The sequence below is a fragment of the Homo sapiens genome, chromosome 4, assembly GCF_000001405.40.
Source record: "Homo sapiens chromosome 4, GRCh38.p14 Primary Assembly".
NCBI lineage: Eukaryota > Metazoa > Chordata > Mammalia > Primates > Hominidae > Homo > Homo sapiens.
The window spans coordinates 26980914-27000191 of NC_000004.12; the positions used below are offsets into that span (position 1 = coordinate 26980914).

At 34.8% G+C, this 19278-nt stretch overlaps 1 protein-coding gene across 3 annotated transcripts in view; it reads left to right on the top strand.

Moving 5' to 3' along the window:
• STIM2 (stromal interaction molecule 2) overlaps positions 1–19278 on the top strand; it is a 164541-nt gene that overhangs the window by 120073 nt on the left and 25190 nt on the right. For all 3 annotated transcript variants that reach the window (NM_001169118.2, NM_001169117.2, NM_020860.4), the window contains exons 4-5: positions 14466–14577; positions 18319–18434. In NM_001169118.2, coding sequence (NP_001162589.1) covers positions 14466–14577; positions 18319–18434 — 228 coding nt within the window. The remainder of the gene's footprint in view (positions 1–14465; positions 14578–18318; positions 18435–19278) is intronic.

Consider the following 19278-nt stretch of genomic DNA (forward strand, 5'->3'; position numbering starts at 1 on the left):
ACTTCTAATATTGTGGATAAGGAGCCCTTCCTTACTTTCTGGCACGAAAAGATGTTTGAACTAAATGAATATCCAGCAACAAGTAAACTTAGGTATTCTGAGGCTTCTTAAATACTAATACCTACAGAAACCCCAAGGTACAGCTATTCTTTCCCAGATAGACAAAATCCAAAAGTGAGTAAGAATGCAGAGCTTGACTGCCTGTATTCAAGTCTCTACATAACACTTACTAGATTTGTGACATCGGACAGGACAAATAACTTGATCTCTCTGTCCCTAACTTTCCCTATTTGTGAAATCTCGCTAATAAGTACCCACCCCCCACCTTAGAGGGTTGTGCTGAGGATTAAATGAGTCAACAAGTATATAGAGTTTAGAACAGTATTTGATAGCTAATAAAGCCTAATGTTTGCTGTTATTAATATTGTTAAAAGGCTACCATACTTTCTTGGAGAAAATCACAAGCTACAAAGTAATGGAGAAGCTCGCAATTAGTAGAATTCTCTACCTGCATAATTGAAGAAGAACTGAAAGATTTCTTTTTTAAATTTTAATTTCTTAATTGAAAGTGATTTCAAATTTAGAGAAAAGTTGCAGGACCAGAGCAAATAACTCCCATATACACTGTGTCTAGATACCCTCCGCTCCCCTTCCAGTGCCACCATTTGCCCTAATAATGGCCTTTTATAGCCAAAGGATGCAGGGTGATGCATTGTACCCGGTTGTCCTATCTCTCTAGTTGTCTTCAGTATGGAAAAATTCCATAATACTGCCTGGACTTTTACGACGTTGGCCAGTAATCTTCAAAAACATCACTTTTGTAGTAAATAACTAAATTAGGATTTGTTTGATATTTTTACATTGTTAGACCCAGGTTATGCATTTTGGGCTGGACTATCACAGGAGTGATTCTTTTTATTATATCATTTTGGGTGGCACTTGGTATCATTTGCCTTATTACAAATGGTGTTATCTTTGTCATTTGATGAATATAGTGTCTGCTGTGTTTCCATAACTATAAAGGTATTTACCCCACACCGAACAAATGTGTAATTCTTTTTTTTTTTTGGTGGAGAGATACTTGAAGACTATTTAAAATCACATTCCTCATTTCACTTTTTAGTTCTAGCATCTATAAATTTTTTTTGCCTGACTTAATTATTGCTCACATGGTTGCTAAATGGTAACTTTTTGAATTCCATCATTCCTTCTACTTACTAGTTGGCGTTCTACTATAAGGAAGAGAATTAAACAGAGTGTATATCAACATCTTGTCCGTGAAGATGCTGGGAGATAACAAAGACATATTTTGAAACTAGGAATTTGAGAAAGACTGATTCTCAAAAACTTATGAATGCTTTGAAGATTGATCTTCTGCATTTATTCATTTATATCCTATTTTATTCAGTCAGTTTTGAGTTTGTTACTATTATGATTTTGATGCTCAAATTGTCCCAAATTTAGTTAATGGGAGGCCTTTCTAACTGGCTTCTATATCTTTTTATATCCTTTCTAACTGGCTTCTATATTCTTTAAAATATCCTTTTCTAACTGGCTTCTATATCCTTCTGTATCCTCTTTTAAGGATTAAGGATATTCTTTATTCTTTTATATATCCTTCTATATCCATCATTTTTTGAGCTCTTCCCTACTTATTGGCACAAAAAGTATCCAGGCTCATTGTGTTATGTCTTAACCTCAATCCTGGAAACAGCCATTTCTCCAAGGAACCCTGGTTATTTTTAGCTGAATTGCTGTTTAGAAACCAAGATTTGGGCACTAGGTATGTTCATTGCTACTGAGATATTGTTGTTCCCAGACCTCAGTGGACAGAGTTAAGAAACATGCACACCTTATATTTCTTTTTTTTTATACTGAAAATCATGAATTCACACTGATACCTGATAAACTCCAATTTCAGTCCAACACTTTGGGTTAATTCTAGCTTAACTCCTTTTTCTATTTGTACTTCACTGACAGTGAAAACTTGACTCTGTTATCTTAATATGTTTACGTAGTTGCTCAGTCCCTCTGTAGGTAGCCAGGGTCCTGACCCCACGGGCTGCTACCTCTTTCAGGGGCCTGCCTTATGTGGGCCTCGGCCTTCACAAGGCTGCCACCCTGTTGTCCGCATTATAGAGATACTAGCTGCTGTTAACCTGTCTCATCCCCATGTGGGACCAGATTACTTCTGGGTAATTGAAAGACACTGAAATGAATATGAAAATTGAAAAAAAACTTGGGAGAAAAATCGGAATGCACACTATCCAGTAACTTGGTGGAAATGAATCAGTCTTTTTGAGTTTGATGACTGAAGCACTTTATTCACATTTTGCCTTTCTCATATGATTCTCTGGCTGTTGACAAAGGTCCCCTATGAATGGGGAGCCTATTTAGTAATTTAATCCTTTAACCATTGTGTCAGTACTACAATTAAACAAACTTTTCCTAAAAGTTATTTTTGCCACTGATAATATTAGTTAAACCACTGCTATGTATACCAGCTGAAGGCCAAGTTGGAAAATGTTATATACCAGGTAAATGTAGCTTAATAATATTTGTGAATTATTAGATTTTTAAATGCTAAATGCACTAAGAAAAATCATATATAATTGAAGATCAAACAAATTTCTGAGTACAGTTGCCTTGAAAATATTTCTACCATTGGAATTGGCTAATTTTTCTATTATTGAAGAAATCAAGGTTTACAAGTTCTGAATGTATTGTGTCTTCTTACCTGGAAGTTGTTTGGCAACTAGAGTGAAAACTCAATTTTTAGCTGGCCTTTGATATAATAAAGAAGGTATTTATTAACTAGGCTTTTGTATTCATTTTTTGTTGAACTCCCTCTAAAAGTTAATGCATTTCTTACATCATGCTTTCTGGTAGTCTTGGTAATAACTCCTTGATTCTGATGTTTTATTTATTTAATCCAGTGCCCAAAGTAATTACTGTGCAGTCAGTAAATATTTGCTGCATGAAGGAATTCCAAGTTGCCTACAGAAAATCTTTTGAAGAAACTTTCAAATTCTAAGAGAAAAAAGTGTTAATAGCAGAAAATTAAAGCAAACAGTTGTAAAGCTATAATTGAAAAGCTATAATTGAAATGTTTCTTTATTGTTATACTTTGGAAAATAGCACCCTCTTCATTTTATGAAGCTTAGTCACACTTTTGAAAGTTTGTTGTTTTATCTAGAAATGGTTCTAAAAAGAATCAATGAAAGTGACATTTTCCTTGGCAGTCTTGGTTAACAGAATCATTTTGTCATCCATTCACTCGTCCAATAAATACTAATTGAGTTCCAACTAACTATGTACCTGCCATTCCATGTTTGTTAAGTGCTTGCTGTATTTTTGGCATTGTATAACATGTTGGGAATATAGAATGAATAAGAAACACTATCTGCAGAACAACCATATGATTTTGAGACCCACTATTTCTCCAATTTTTTTTGTTTTTGGAGATGGAGTCTCACTCACTCTGTTGCCCAGGCTGGAATGCAGTAGCGTGATCTCGGCTCACTGCAACCTCCGTGTCCCAGGCTCAAGTGATTCTCCTGCTTCAGCCTCCTGAGTAGCTGGGATTACAGGTGCATGCCACCACACCTGGCTAATTTTGTTTTGTATTTTTAGTAGAGATGGGGTTTCGCCATGTTGGCCAGGCTGGTGTCGAACTCCTGGCCTCAAATGATCTGCCCGCCTCTGGCTCCCAAAGTGCTGGGATTACAGGCGTGAGCCACTTGCACCCAGCCTTCAATTTCTAATTTTAAGATATATCTTTGTTATTTCTCACCATCTTCATGGAACTAGGTATTGATAGTACACTTAGTTTCATTGATAATAAGATTGGAGTTTCTAATAGGAAAGGTAATAAAGCCTTCCCTCAGTGTCCCCTGTACCACTGTTGGGAACAAAACACCTTGGTAATTTTTAAGTTCTGAATGTTCAAACATTTGCCAGCATTTACCTAGTGTCTCTAAAAATTACATGTAATTCTTGCATAATTAAAGAGAAGGAGCTCATGAGCAAAAGTGTATATTTCTCTTTGGTACAATTACTAATATCCGAACTCAAGTTCAGGGTGTTGCTTTAGGTATCCAAATATAGCATGTTGCAGGAATTTACTCCATGTTACAAAGACATGCCCTGCTGACCACTGTGCAAATGAGGAGCTCACATTCTGGCACTGTTCTAAACATAAACCTGTCTTGACTGTGCTGAGCAGCTGAGCATCTAAAGTCTCGTTCAGAAGTGACCCCAGGAAGTCTATAAAATCAACTGAGTTAGGATGAAATGTGAAAGGCCCGAAACTTACTCAACTTTTAGATTTGAAAAGTTATTATTTTCTTTCTTTTATATTAGTTTAAAAATTCTTATTTTTAAATCCCTGCAATACTGAACCTTAGGTTAATTCAGTTTTCCTGTGATAAATTATGTGTATCAGTGTAAAGAGAAACTGAGATTTTTTGTAACTTGTAACACTCAATTGAAATTGGATTTAAAAGTAGTCAATACTGGTGTACACCTGTGTTGTTTTAGAATATGGTATTTTATATAAACATTCCAATAACACAAATATTTTTCAAACTGCTAATAAGTTTTTAGCTTCTATCAACATTTCATATAGCCAACTTTAAATATATTTACTTTTATTAATAATGTTTAGTCTTTCTTCTTCCTGACCCCCTTGCCAAACCTTTTGGTAGATATAAAGATGTTTTCATGCTTTAAGAGAAGGCAGTATATGTTTGTAACACATACTGTTTGTAACAGTCTGTACTGTTTTTAACTCTACTCTCCTGTCTCAGGATATCAGAAGTTGATTTCCCTAAAATGCATTAATTTTCCCAAAGAAACTTTTATGCCAGTTGCTTTTAATTAAAAAAATTATTAACAAGCCAGTTGCTTTCTTAACATTAAGAATGACATTACTAATGTTTTTAAAATCATAAATTTAGGACATAGCAGTTTTAAAAAAGTAGTATGAAAGCTATTAAAAAATGAAAAGCAGAATACATGTAATGTGTATGCTTGTTATATCCAAGGTCTGCCACAGCTGATGGTGAATTCGGCTGTATCTTGAGGTTTGAGGTTTCCTCAGAACGCAGGAGATGGTTAAGAGTTGGCCTTTGAACTCAGTGGGCGTAGTTCTAAATCCTGTTTCCACTACTTACTTGGTCTGTGAATTTGAGCAAGTGGCTTAAACTCTGAGCTTCAGCTTCCTAATCTATAAACCAAGGATTATAATATTACATCTGATACCTACTTCATAGGGTTTTTGAGTTTTATGAGAGGATTCATGTAAAGCATGTAGCAGAGTTTCTGGAAATTGCCAAGTGCTCACAAAATGTTTGGTACTACTATTATTAACATGTCTCTACATACACAAAAATGCTTTATTATTAGAAGTTAGGTTTTCCCCCACAGTATTTAGGTGATTTCACAGATCATCTTTAAGATATTTTGGATAGTATATACTTATATTAAATATAACAAATGAAAAGTTATATGGTAGTACTTCACTAGGCTGTTTTGTATTTTTAGGCTTGTAACTTAATACAGGCATATGGCTAAGTGCTTTGGGTGCATTGGTTTTGTAAGATTGCCTTTTACACATGAAAGGAACAAGTAAATACATATATTTTAATCTTTTAAAGTTTATCTTTTATACTGATTTGTTTATATCAGGTTTGCTTAAAGCAAGGCACACAAATTCTCTTCCGATACCACTGTCGACCACACAACTTTAAATTGCTACCTCCACTATGTTATTTATAAGCCTCTTTGGTTCTGTTCTGGAGCCAAGGATTCACCAGTGCTGCTTTAAAGTGAGATATCAGGCAGACAGTATTATTTATCTTTCACACAATTATGGGATAGCAAATTGATAATTAAAAACAAAACAAAACAAGTTCTTTTATTTAAGGAAGACTAAAAGTCAGTTATACATTCAGCTAATACTTAAATGGCAACTTGGTGTGTTTTCTACAGTCCTTGTCTTATAGCAGCTTGCAGTATAGCAGGAACATAAGATATAAGCAAACAGTTACAAAGTAAGGCAGCCCATATGATGTGCCATTTTGTAGAAATAGTTAAGCAGTATAGAAATTCATGGGAGAAAGAGATTGCTTTCAGCTAGAGTATTTCATTCACTTAAACCTAGTTGTACAGCTGGGATGTACCTATGCATGACTCGTGTCTTTTTTGGAAGGCTGCTTCAGCTGGGTGGCCACAGCCAGTTGCTTTTCTTCTCTATTGGTGGCTATTTTCACCCCTTACAATCTCTTCATTCTCCCTGTGATTAGGACCCCACTGCTGTCAAAAAGCTTTCTGCTCTTAGGCACAGTTTTCATCCCTTTTTAAGTGCTGATCCAAAATAGTGACATGGTGGTGGGACCGAAAGTAGCAGACAGATGGGGAGAAGAAAGGGAAACTGGGTGCAGAATCAGGAACCTCATTCTCTGTTGTAGAAATTGCCCTTTTGATAGCAGCATGGGTGAGGAGTAATGAAAAGGAGAACCCTCTGTTCCTGTGAAAATCCACAAATGTATAGTCCCGCCCTTCCCCATATTTTACCTCCCCATACTCTCTCATCTCCTGGAATTTCGATTCCATACATCATCCTGTCCCCACTTTCCCATCCCCCACCATCTCCTTTGTTCCAGAGCCATGCTGCAGTTCTGAATCTCCTGGCTGTTTGAAATGTTGCCTTTCGAGCTGTTAGAGCCCCTCTTCCAAGTTGTAGGAATCACCTCCATGATGAAGAACTGACGTAGCTCCATTGAGCTTTTCTGTTACTCCCTCCAGGCCTTTAGTAGGCCCCAATGTATACTTGATGTCTCTAGGAGAATCCTGAGTCCATTAATGTAATTGCCTGTGGCAGATTGCTCATATATAATGTTTAACTTTGGCATTACTGTTAGTACTATATGTCTGAAAGGTTTGTTTCTAAGAGAAAATATGTTTCAAGTTTTAAACAGTGAGCTGTTCTAAATCAGCCATCTATATTAGTAGTGGACTTACAGTCAGAAGGTTAGAGTTCAATTCTAGCTCTCTCAGTTATTCTGTGTGACCATGTGTGTGATCACTTGGCCTCTCTTGGCCTAGGTTGTTTGTATAGAATGTAGAGATAATAGATTTCTTTCAAAGATAGTTGTTGGGGGTTAAATGAGAATGTATGTAAAGATGTATAGTAAAATATAAAGCCCCATAGTCCTAAAGGAATGTGGCATTTTTTTGTGTGTTAATCATGACTGTGTTAGGTAAAATAACAAGTTCCTGCCCTCTAAGAACTCATCATCCAGAGGATAAGATGAACATGGACAATTACGTTATGGTATATGATAAATCCTATGGCAGATATAAGTATAGGTGACCAAGGAGCACAAAGAAGAGCAGCTCTAATCTGGAAATGAATGGATAGAGAAAACTTCATGAAGGAGGGAGCTTCTTATCTAAGTCTTAAAGAAGAGCGAGCCTGGCAAAGAAGGAAGAAAGGAAAAACATTCCATATTGAAGGAGAGACAGTGGGGCCTGGGGGAACATTGTACAGAAAGCTCCAAGTATGGCTGCAAGTATGACTAGACCATAAACTATCTGTGGTACCTTATCTGATTATTAGGACCACTTAGCTTATTTTGAAGAGGCGGTGTTCCTGCACAATGTTTAACAACTCTAGAAACAGGTTTGGTCTGAAACTTGGTTTGACCATTTACGAATCTTTTATACCTAATTAAGAACCTCGACTCCATACACTTTTAGATTCAATATGATGATAAAAGTGTCTACTTAAAAGGCTTATTACAATGATCATTTGAAATAATGTTTGCAAATCTCCTGGTATTTAATGAACACTTAATAAATGTTAGCAGTTTTCATCGCTATCCTGAAAGTTCTTAGGGCCATTCTTTCCCTCTCAGTATTCTGTAATCTACTGTTCTAGGCTAACACTTTAGCAATGTTTTATTAATAAATACCAACTCTTGTTTATTATAATGGAATCATAGAAACAGTTTAAATGAAATTTTTCTTTGGAGTGGGGGACGGAGTCTCACTCTGTCTCCCAGGCTGGGGTACAGTAGCGCAGTCTTGGCTCACTGCAGCCTCTGTCTCCTGGGTTCAAGAGATTCTCCTGCCTCAGCCTCCGGAATAGCTGGGATTACAGGTATTTACCACTATGCCTGGCTAATTTTTGTATTTATAGTAGAGACAGGGTTTTGCCATGTTGGCCAGGCTGGTCTCGAACTCCTGTCCTCAGGTGATCCACCCACCCTGGTCTCCCAAAGTGGTAGGATTACAGACATGAGCCACCACACACGGCCCAGTTTAAATGAATTTTAAAGGTGGTCTAGATCAATTTTATTATTTTGCATGTTAAGATGCAAGGACTGTTCAACACACAAATCAATAAATGTGCTACCTCACATCAATAGAATCAAGGTCAAAAACTATATGATCTTTTCAATAGATGCTAAAAAGCATTTAATAAATTCAGCATCCCTTCATGATAAAAACCTTCAACAAATTGGGTATATAAGGAGCATACCTCAACACAATAAAGGCCATATATGACAAGCCCAAAAGCTGTGTGTTTCGTGCCGAATGGGGAAAAATTGAAAGCCTTTCCACTAAGATCTGAAACAAGACAAGGATGCCCACTTTCACCACTTTTATTCAGTGTAATACCAGAAATACTAGCCAGAATAATTAAGCAAAAGAAATAAATAAAAGGCATTCAAATTGAAAGGGAAGACGTCAAATTATCCTTGGTTGAAGGGGACATGATCTTATATTTAGAAAAACCTAGACTTCACCAGAAAACTCTTAGAACTGATAAATGAATTTAGTAAAGTTACAGGATACAAAATCAACCTACAAAAGGCAGTAGCATCTCTATACATTAGCAGAGATCACTCTGAAAAAGAAATCAAGAAAGCAATCTTCTTTACAATAGGTACCAAAAAATATACCTAGAAACGAATTTAACCAAGGAAGTGAAAAATCTCTACAAAGAAAATTATAAAACACTGATTAAAGAAATTGAAGAGGATTCACAAAAAAGGAAAGATATGCTTATGGATTGGAAGAATTCATCTTGTTAAAATGTCTTTACTACCTAAAGTGATCTACAGATTTAATACAATCCCTATCAAAATACCAATTATATCCTTCACAGAAATAGAAAAAAAAATCCTAAAATTTGTATGAAACCACAAAAGACCATGAATATCTATAGCAATTCTTGAGCAAAAAGAACACTGCTGGAGATATCACACTACCTGAATTCAAATTATATTACAAAGCTATAATAACCAAAGCATCATGGTACCGGCATAAAAACAGACACATATACCAACGAAACAGAATAGAGAACCCAGAAATAAATCCATACACTTTTAGCCAACTCATTTTCAACAAAGGCACCCAAAATGTGCATTGGGGAAGGAATGGTCTGTTTAATAAATGGTGCTAGGAAAACTGGATATCTCTATGCAGAAGAATGAATCTAGATCTCTACCATATGCAAAAATCAACTCAAAATTGATTAAAGACTTAAATGTAAGATCTGAAACTATTAGAAAACATTGAGGAAAGGCTTCAGGACATTAGGCTGGACAAGAAGCTTTTTGGGTTAAGACCTGAAAAGCATAGGCAACAAAAGCAAAAACAGACAAATGGGATTGTATCAAGCTAAAAAGCTTCTGCATGGCAAAGGAAACAATGAACAAAGTGAAGAGACAACCTATGGGGTGGGAGAAAATTTGCAAACTATCCTTCTGACAAGAGATTAATAACCAGAATATATAAGGAACTCAAACAGCTCAATAGCAGAAAAACAAATAATCTGAGTAAAAAATGGGCAAAAGACCTGAGTAGGCATAAAGACATACCAGTGGCCCACAGGTATACGAAAAAATGTTCAGCATCACTAATCATCAGGGAAATGCAAATCCAAACTACAATGAGATATTATCACACTCCAGTTTGAATGGCTGTTATCAAAAAGACAAAAAATTACAAATGCTGTTGAAGGTGTGGAGAAAGGGGAACTCTTACATACTATTTGTGGGAATGTAAAGTAGTACAGTTATTAAGGAAAACAGTATGGAGGTTTCTCAAAAAAACTAAAAATAGAGCTAGCATATGATTCAGCAGATTCACTGCTGAATATATGTCTAAAAGAAAGGAAATCATTGTTCCAAATGATACCTGCACTCTCATGTTTACTGCAGCACTATTCACAATAGGCAAGATGTGGAATCAACCTAAGTGTCCATCATCAGGTGGATGGATAAAGAAAATGTGGTATGTATACACAATGGAATATTATTCAGCCATAAAAAAGAATAAAATCCCGTTATTTACAGCAAAATGGAACTGAAGATCATTATGTTAAGTGAAATAAACCAGGCACAGAAAGACAAATATCACACGTTCTTCCTCAGATATAGGAGCTAAAAAAGTGGATTTTATGGAAGTAGAGAGTAGAATGGTGGTTACCAGAGGCTGGGAAGCGAAGAGGGGAATGAAGAGAAGTTGGTTAATGGGTACAAAAATGCAGTTAGGTAGAAGTAATAAGTTCTAGTATTTGATACTAAAGTAGGGAAATTAAAGTTAACAGTAATTTATTGTGTGTTTCCAAATAGCTGGAAGATAATTATAATGGTTCCAACATGGAGAAAAGATAAATGTTTGAGGTGATGGATATCTCAGTTACCCTGATTTGATCATCACACATTGTATACGTGTATCAAAATACCATATGTACTCCCAACATATGTATAACATCAATTTAAAAAAGAGAATCTGAGCTGTAGTTAAATAATGTGGCTATGATATTATCCTGAATCAGTGGCACAGCTGGGAGTAAAATCAGGTCTGTTTCCATTCCAGAGTTCTTTTCATTAGTCTTAGAATAAATTGCCAAAAATCCCTTTGAGACACTGACCTGTAGCACTGGCCACAACTTCAAGCAGAAACAATATAAGTTAACATTTTAGAAGCTGGCATTTCTGTAGCTCTGCAGATTGGGAAAGATACCTTTAAAAGGAATGGTGTATCTCTCTCTGCTTGCCCTCTGATGGAAGTGTTGTTTAGCAACAGCATCTATAAAAGATCAGTGAGAGGCAGGTAATAAGGAACCAGATAATTCTTAAATGAGTAATTCTTTTACCATCAAGAATTTCTTATGTAATGAAAAATCGCTTGTACCCCAAAAGCTATTGAAATTTAGAAAATGTTAAAAAAGAATTTCTTATACATACAAATCCTTGTCTCACCATTAAAATGTAAAATTAGATTTTCATAAGACTTATTAATTAAACATGTTCTACGTCATTCAACAGCATCCAACAAATAATTTGTTGAGTGCCTTTATACCAAGTGCTAGGGTTAGAGTGATGAGCAGAAGACTTATACTTTACTGAAATAAACAGTTGTTGAAGTAACAATCATACAGATAAGTAGTTATAGTTATTTAAATGCTATGCATAAAAGCTACTAAGGGATTAATAATCAGGGGCTGGGTGTGGTGTCTCATACCTGTAATCTCAGCACTTTGAGAGGCAGAGGAGTTCAAGAGATCAGCCTATGCAACATAGCAAGACCCTATCTCTACAAAAAAAGGAAAAAAAAGGTTATATAGTAATGTTCAGAAAGGTTCACTTGAAGAATTAAAGTTTTAGCTGAGATATGAAGGTTTAATGAAACAAAAAGGTGGAGGGATAGCAAAAAGGAGCTTATACTCAGCAAACAGCACGTACAGAGGCCCTGAAGAAGGACATAGTATGATCTGTCCTAAGAAATGAAAGACAACTAGAGTATTTGGAACAGAGAATGCTAATAAAAAATGCAAGTCCTGGTCATGAGAAGAGAAGTGAAGGTGTTTACTAAGTATCACCAAGGAAACCACAGCAAAAGGAGAAGTGAATCTCCCCCCAAAATAAATGGTTCTGTTAGATCTGTTGTTTTAAAGATTCGTTGTCAAGACCACTACAATTTTCAATTTGCTAAGCAGAGTATTACTAAGATTTGGGCAGTTTTAATATGTTCTTTTTCATTTGATTTTTCTTCCTTTCTGTACTGACTTACTGGAAATTGTGGGATGACTTTGATGTGCTGAAGTGTTTAGATCAGGAATTTTCACTGTTGAACAGTCATAGAGAGAATCTTATCTTGTTTTCTTGGCTGGGGATTTTGTGTGGGCGTGTGAGGTACAGCTGCACCATGAGTTTTTTGGCAGTGAGGACAGGGCAATTCTCAATGCAGTTCATCTTGAATAGGAAGAAACTTAAGAGTAAAAAGTCTACTTTGAATGCACTAAATTCAGTGGAAAACACCCAGGGCCTGAACCTTCAGCTGACATCCTGTTACTTGGTTAAATGGATACAGCAGCCTCAGGCCCATGTCCAGGTTTTATGGTAGGAACACATGAAGGGGAGAACAGTCAAGGCTTTGTTTCAATATAAAACTATCAGTTACCACATCTAGTTTTAAATGTTTTTGGTTTTTGTTTGTGGTTTATTTAAGCTTTTTCTCTAAAGAACACTTAATAAAAAAGGCAGATTGATGGAAACCTAGCTTTGCTTGCAAGTATGAATTCATATTTTTATGTAGCTTATCAGAAAGATTTTTTTCAGATTTATTTATATACAGATGGATTCCCAGATCTGCTTTTATTGCTCACGTTTTCTTCACTCTCCCTTGATCTCTTCTGTAGTCTATAAGCATTAACCCTCAAATTAAATGCAGACAGTATAGAACTATTCATTTGTAAGCACACTTACATCCTTCCCTTTGCATAAACTCATCATTACTCTTCATAAGCAGAAACCTCTGAACTGCGTCCAGCGCTTAACTGCTTGTTTATATCTTTACTGTTATTTAGTATTACTACTTTCAGAGTAGTATAAAGTTTTGTTCTGTGAACAGTTTGCCTGAGTTCAAATCCAGTCCTGCTGCTTACTTTGTTGGTTCCATTAGCTTTTTAGTTTTTAACTTCCAAAATAAAGATAATTATGTTAGAACCTCGTAAGTTTTTTTTAAGACTTAAGAAAATGCATACAAAGGACTTAATTTAAAATAAATATCCAGGAGAAGAGATGCTAGTTATTTTATTCTTGATTTAGGTCCAGTCTTCTAGAATCTATTAATAGCTGTCTTTTCTGGTTGATGTCATTTAGTCTAAAGATCATCTGTATGTTGGTGACTTCCCACCAATACCTCTGTTCCTAACCTCACTTTTTCCTAAGCTCCAGACTTGCAGATCTGACTGCTGCTCTATTATCTACACTTAAATGTCAAATGCATACTTCAAACATAACGTGTCTTAAAACAACTTTTGATCTCTGTCACCGGCCCCTGCTCGTTTCCCCAATCTTTTCCTCCCCATTCTTTTCTATCTCAGTTAATGGTAGCACCCTCTGTACTTTTGGCTTTTGTTTAGCTACCAGCCCCTGTCCATTTCATCAGCGCATCTTAATAGCATTATCCCCAGAATATATCCTGAATCTGACTCCTTGTTGTCATCTTATCTACTACTATCATAGTCTAAGATGATGACCCTTTCCTGTCTAGGCAATTATATAAGGAATGGTCTTCTTATTTCTCCGTATTTCATGATAAGACTGGACCATTTTTAGTCTTATCATGAACAATCTATTCTCCACATTGAAGAACAACATTCTAAAAAAAGATTATTCCCCTTCTTTTTATTGAAATTAGAAAACTGTCCAGAGTTCTTGAAAGCCTTTCATGACCTAGCTCCTCTCTGACTTTCTGCCAGTCTCTCAAACACTGCTAGTTCATTCCATCTGAAGGCTTTTTTTTACAGCCTTTTCCTCTCTTTGGGATATTTTTCACCCATGTCTTCACAATGGGACTCCTTGCAATTTTTAGGTCTCAGATGTCAGCTCCTTAGAGAGGCTTACCCTGACATCTTTCCTGCTTTTCTTAAGTTAATCACTATCTGAAATTTCCCTTCCTCTTCTTCCTTCTTTCATAAAGTGCCCCTCCCCAAACCCAAAGGAATTTAAGTTCCATACAAGGACTTTATCCGTTTTATTCACTGCCATATGCCCAGTGCTTAGAATGAAATCTGGTATTCAGAATGTTTTCGGTATTACAATACTATATGGGTGGATGGCTAGATGAAAGAATGAACAAGTATGTATCTGGTAATTTTCTACAACCAGAAAAATGATAGATTATTTCATTCTTACAAACTTGTATAGGTGTTTATTTTCGAATTAATCATGCTAATCTTTGTCCTAATTGCTTTTACTATCACTTCTGTTTTTGATTGTAAGGCTTTCTTCTTCTCATAGAGTGCTAGATACAGTTTTGGTACTTAATGTTGATTAAATTGAAAATGCAATCTAATATCTTTATATTCTCTGAAATTATAGAATATGTATTTCTGAAAGCAGGTGTGTTTAAAATATGCATTCCCCTTTTATCTCCTGCAGTTCATAATTGGACCCTTGAAGACACTCTTCAGTGGTTGATAGAGTTTGTTGAACTACCCCAATATGAGAAGAATTTTAGAGACAACAATGTCAAAGGAACGACACTTCCCAGGTGAGTCTTTGTTATGCAAATGTATTTTCCACTCAGGGAGAATTATATGCTAGATGTCATTTCCCCATACTGAATCTACAAGTTACTTCCGTGGCTGAGGGCACAAAGGAAATATAAATATATCCATTCTTTAATCTTTCTAAATTATGCATTTTCAAGTTTTAATCAATTTTTCTTGTCTAAATAATCAGGCTCTTGGAAAAATTATTTCCAAGGAACATGATTTTGAGTTTCAGAAGATGGGTCAACTATATCATTTGTAAATAACATCAAGGGTCAACTTTTGGCCAATCTAAGAAAAACTTTTTTATTTGATACTGATTCATTTTTATGAACACATCTACTTGAATGAATTAATGTGCGTCTCTTTCTTGTGACATTTTAAATGACAATAACCATCGAATTATGGCGTCTATACGTTATACCTGAATTTTAAAAATGAAATTAATAAAAAATAGCAACCATTTTAAAATGTATGCTACATAGAAGTACTTTATATTATCTCATTTAACCCTCATGATTAAAATGAGGTATATATTGTCCTTCCCATTTTACAGGTTAAAAAAACCAAGTCAGAGACAAGTTAAACATTTTGCCCAAGGCAGCATTTAAACCCAGATAGATTTGATAGCAAAGTCCAGGTTGCCAGTTTATCCCTTAGGTGTCTGAATCCAGTTGTTCTCTAAATTTTATTTTCTAAATTATATCTAAATTGTATCATTTGCAAGTACCAAATGATATAATTTAGAAATTATAATTTTTAATTAATTTAATTAACTTAATAATCTTGAAGGATTTAAATGTCAAAATTTGCAATGATTCTACCAGAATTTTTTACCCTTACAAGATTGCTTCTTAAGTTTTATTTTTCCCTGGATGATTTCCTACATCCAAAAAGACTCTAATCAGTTATTACAATCTAATCATTATATGTAATGAAATATATACATTGTGTCCCTAGTCAACTTCCTTACATGCCCTATTTAGATAAGTATCCTTTGTTGCTTTGAGGTTTGTATTTTGATCAAGTTGAAAGTTTTCAAATCTGTTTTAAATGTATTCTGAACATCAACATTAGTATTTCTGATTTTATTATACACATGACTAGAATGATGAAATTATAGGGATAAGAGTCAATTTGATAAGTACTTACTGAATATCTTTTATGTTCATGGTACAACTAGATGCTTGAAAGAAGACAAAAATCAAATAAAATATAGTTATTTTAATTAAAACAAGTTCTTAAATTAAAACAGAGTCAAACATTAAAATGAGATTAGAATTTATTTATTTATATATGTTGCCCTGGGTATGAGGAACAATAGGAATTTTCTTGTTGCCTTTTGAGAAACTTGTTTGTTTAACAACAACATGAAATAAAATAGGCTAATCTGAGTTTTGACAGTCAGTGTTATAGCTACTCATTTCCTTTGGTTAAGTAAAGATGATCAGAGATGCTTCCAATTCTGGTAAAATTGTGACATCACACACTTGTCAAGATCAACTCCTTAAATAGTGAACATGTTACTATAGAAAAACATTATAACTTCAGTTTTCAGGTCAGCCCATTGGAACCTTTTTTAGTGGAGGAGAAAGGAGAACAGTAAACTCTTCCTTAAGCCCCTATTATATAGTAATGGAAATTAGATGAGTCAACTTAAAGGGGCAATATCAATTAATTTCAATTATTATGTAAGTTCCAGAGCTCTTTGTATGGTATCTGTAGACATAAGAACTAGTTACAAGAATGTATAAGAAAATGTATTACATATTCTATAGATAGTTGGCCTACAACAGTCCATTATGATGTTTCTTTTCTGTGACATTAAAACCCTTTACATTTGCTAAAGGTAGCCAAAACTATGTTTTATGTTGGCTGTAGTGGTTATCTTAAACCTTTCGCTGTGTTTTCTATACTCTGTAATTCTTACTGCCAAACATTATACTAAGGCTGTCTTCACCTGACACATACCACCTCATTTCTTTCAGGCCTATGTGGCCTTCCCTGACACCCTCACCCACTCAGGTGGAATCATTTTTACCTCTGGACTCATATTGAATCTCGCATAAAATTTTGTTATGTATTTTCTTTTTTACTACATCTCATTGTCTTTCTTAGTCTATTGATAGTTTGCTATTAATTCATGCATCCATACCTACATACATTCATTCAGCTATTATACAAACATTTATCAAGCTTCTACTTTTGGCAAGTACTACATTAGGCTTTGGGGATACAGAGATACGACATAGTCTTTGCCTTCATGCAATTTGATAAGTGTCATGTTAAAGGTGTAAGGGAAGCATTATACGAAAGTACCTGTGGAGAAGATAAAGGAAGGCATTTCAGAGAGGGAATGTTACAGTTCTTTGCTCTTTAAGGTTTTATAGAAGCCTCATAGGAGTTCCTGTAATTTTTCCATACTTAGAGAGTACTGATATCTTTCTATACAAAATGTAGTGTTTCAAAGTAGTCTTTGGAATCGTACATATTTGGGTTTGAATCCTTGCCTTACCTATTACTAATTATGTAACCTTAGGCAAGTTACTCAACCTCTCACAAGTATCTTCACCTATAAAATGGAAATACTATTATAAGGTTTTCTTGAGTATTAAGCCATTGGTACAGGACCCAGCATATATTATATGCCTGTGTTTATTGTCATTGTTATTATTATTAGACTTTGTGTAATGAAATCTTTACTAGCATCATACTTGGTTGTTAAGAAATCTTAGTTGAGTACTGGGTTGCTTGTATTTACAGTCCATAATAAAGTGATTTTATTTCCTTATTTTACCTGTGCCTCCTACGTGCTTTCTTCATAGCTAATAAAATGGTTTAGTACTTATTATTATATAAATTCCTCTACCTACCTACCTCAATCCATGAAGGCTTTTTATTTCCCACTTGTGACTTCAATGTACTTTGTTCAATTTTTAAACAGTTAAACATTAGAATGTTAAAAGTATAGATTTTTTGATACTTTTAAAGAAAATCAATATGATCTAAATTGAAAACTTAATTGTTTTTTAAAGTCTGCTATAGATGTTAAATTAAGTTACTTATGGTTTTATTATCCTTTGTGAAAGGATAATAAGTGACAGAAGTAATTAATGACTATAAAATATTTTCAACTTTAGGCTGGGAGCGGTGGTTCATGCCTGTAATCTCAGCACTTTGGGAGGCTGAGGCGGGCGGATCACGAGGTCAGGAGATCGAGACCATCCTGGCCAACATGGTGAAACCCCATCTCTACTAAAAATACAAAAAATTACCCAGGCGTGGTGGCACGTGCCTGTAGTCCCAGCTACTTGGGAGGCTGAGGCAGGAGAATTGCTTGAACCCGGGAGGCGGAGGTTGCAGAGAGCCGAGATCGAACCACTGCACTCCAGCCTGGGTGACAGAATGAGACTCTGTCTCAAAAAAAAAAATTTTTTTTTCAACTTTATAAATTTCTAAATCATAGTAAGTCATAACAGAAAGTAACCTTAGAAAACCAAAACTTTTTCAATGTAGCTACTAAATTATTAACATACAGGAGTCTTTCTACAGCTAAGTTTGCACTGAAGAGGTTTTTGAAACATGTAACAAATTATTAAATCACACATGGATGAGCTCCAACAGTGATCATCAATAATATGTAAAGTGTTAAATGTGTTGCTCAAATATTTAAATTTGTATACTAGAAATATTTTCATTTAATATATATATATATGTGTGTGTGTTTTTCAAATAAACAGGATAGCAGTGCACGAACCTTCATTTATGATCTCCCAGTTGAAAATCAGTGACCGGAGTCACAGACAAAAACTTCAGCTCAAGGCATTGGATGTGGTTTTGTTTGGACCTCTAACACGTTAGTATTCTCTCTCACTCAGAGGATGATGTAAAAGAATATCCTGATCATCTCTGTGTTATTTAAGGAAAGAGAAAAATAAGATAGTAGGCCTCTAAGAAGAATCATCTATTACCTGTGAAAGAAGTGTAATACTACCTTAAAAGATTTATAAGATAGGATTTTCTGTCATTGAAACATGAGTGTGAAATTTTCAAAGCTGGTTACTAATGTAAGAAGTTATATAAAAAACTATATTTAGCTGTTAATTTAGAATTTTTAGATTTAAAACTTTGGATCTTTGGAGGAGTTTTAATGTTGATGTTACTATAATTGGATATTCACTGAGGAATCTCTTAAAAAATAATATAGTCTAACCATCTTGATGGCATGAAGCAATAGAGCCTAACAGTTTTCACTAAACACCAAGAAAATGGATTTTTAGGTATAGATGGAAAGCAAAGACTCACTTGAAGCTTTATAAATTAACAAACTCTACTGGCAGGAGCAAGAAGTAGAAAATGTTATTTGATTGTTTTGAAGAGAAACATTTGAGAAAGTGTTATGCAATATCTGTAAAGAAAATAAACCTTGTATTTATTTACTTTGACAGGAATATTTTTTCCCCAGAAGAGAAATTTAATATGTTTGTTTTATTTAATTTCAATTTTTTCAGAAAGCTTTGGGAGAAAGTGTTTGAAAAGTACACCTTTTAAAGGAATTATGTTTTTTTTTTTTAGTCAAAAAAGTATAACAAAATTAATACAAGAAAAATGCCTTCCACAAGTTATAAAGTAGGAAACTAATGTTTATTCTCCCTGAATTCTTGGAGTTAGGAGATTTTCAGGTTTCTATGATACCATCT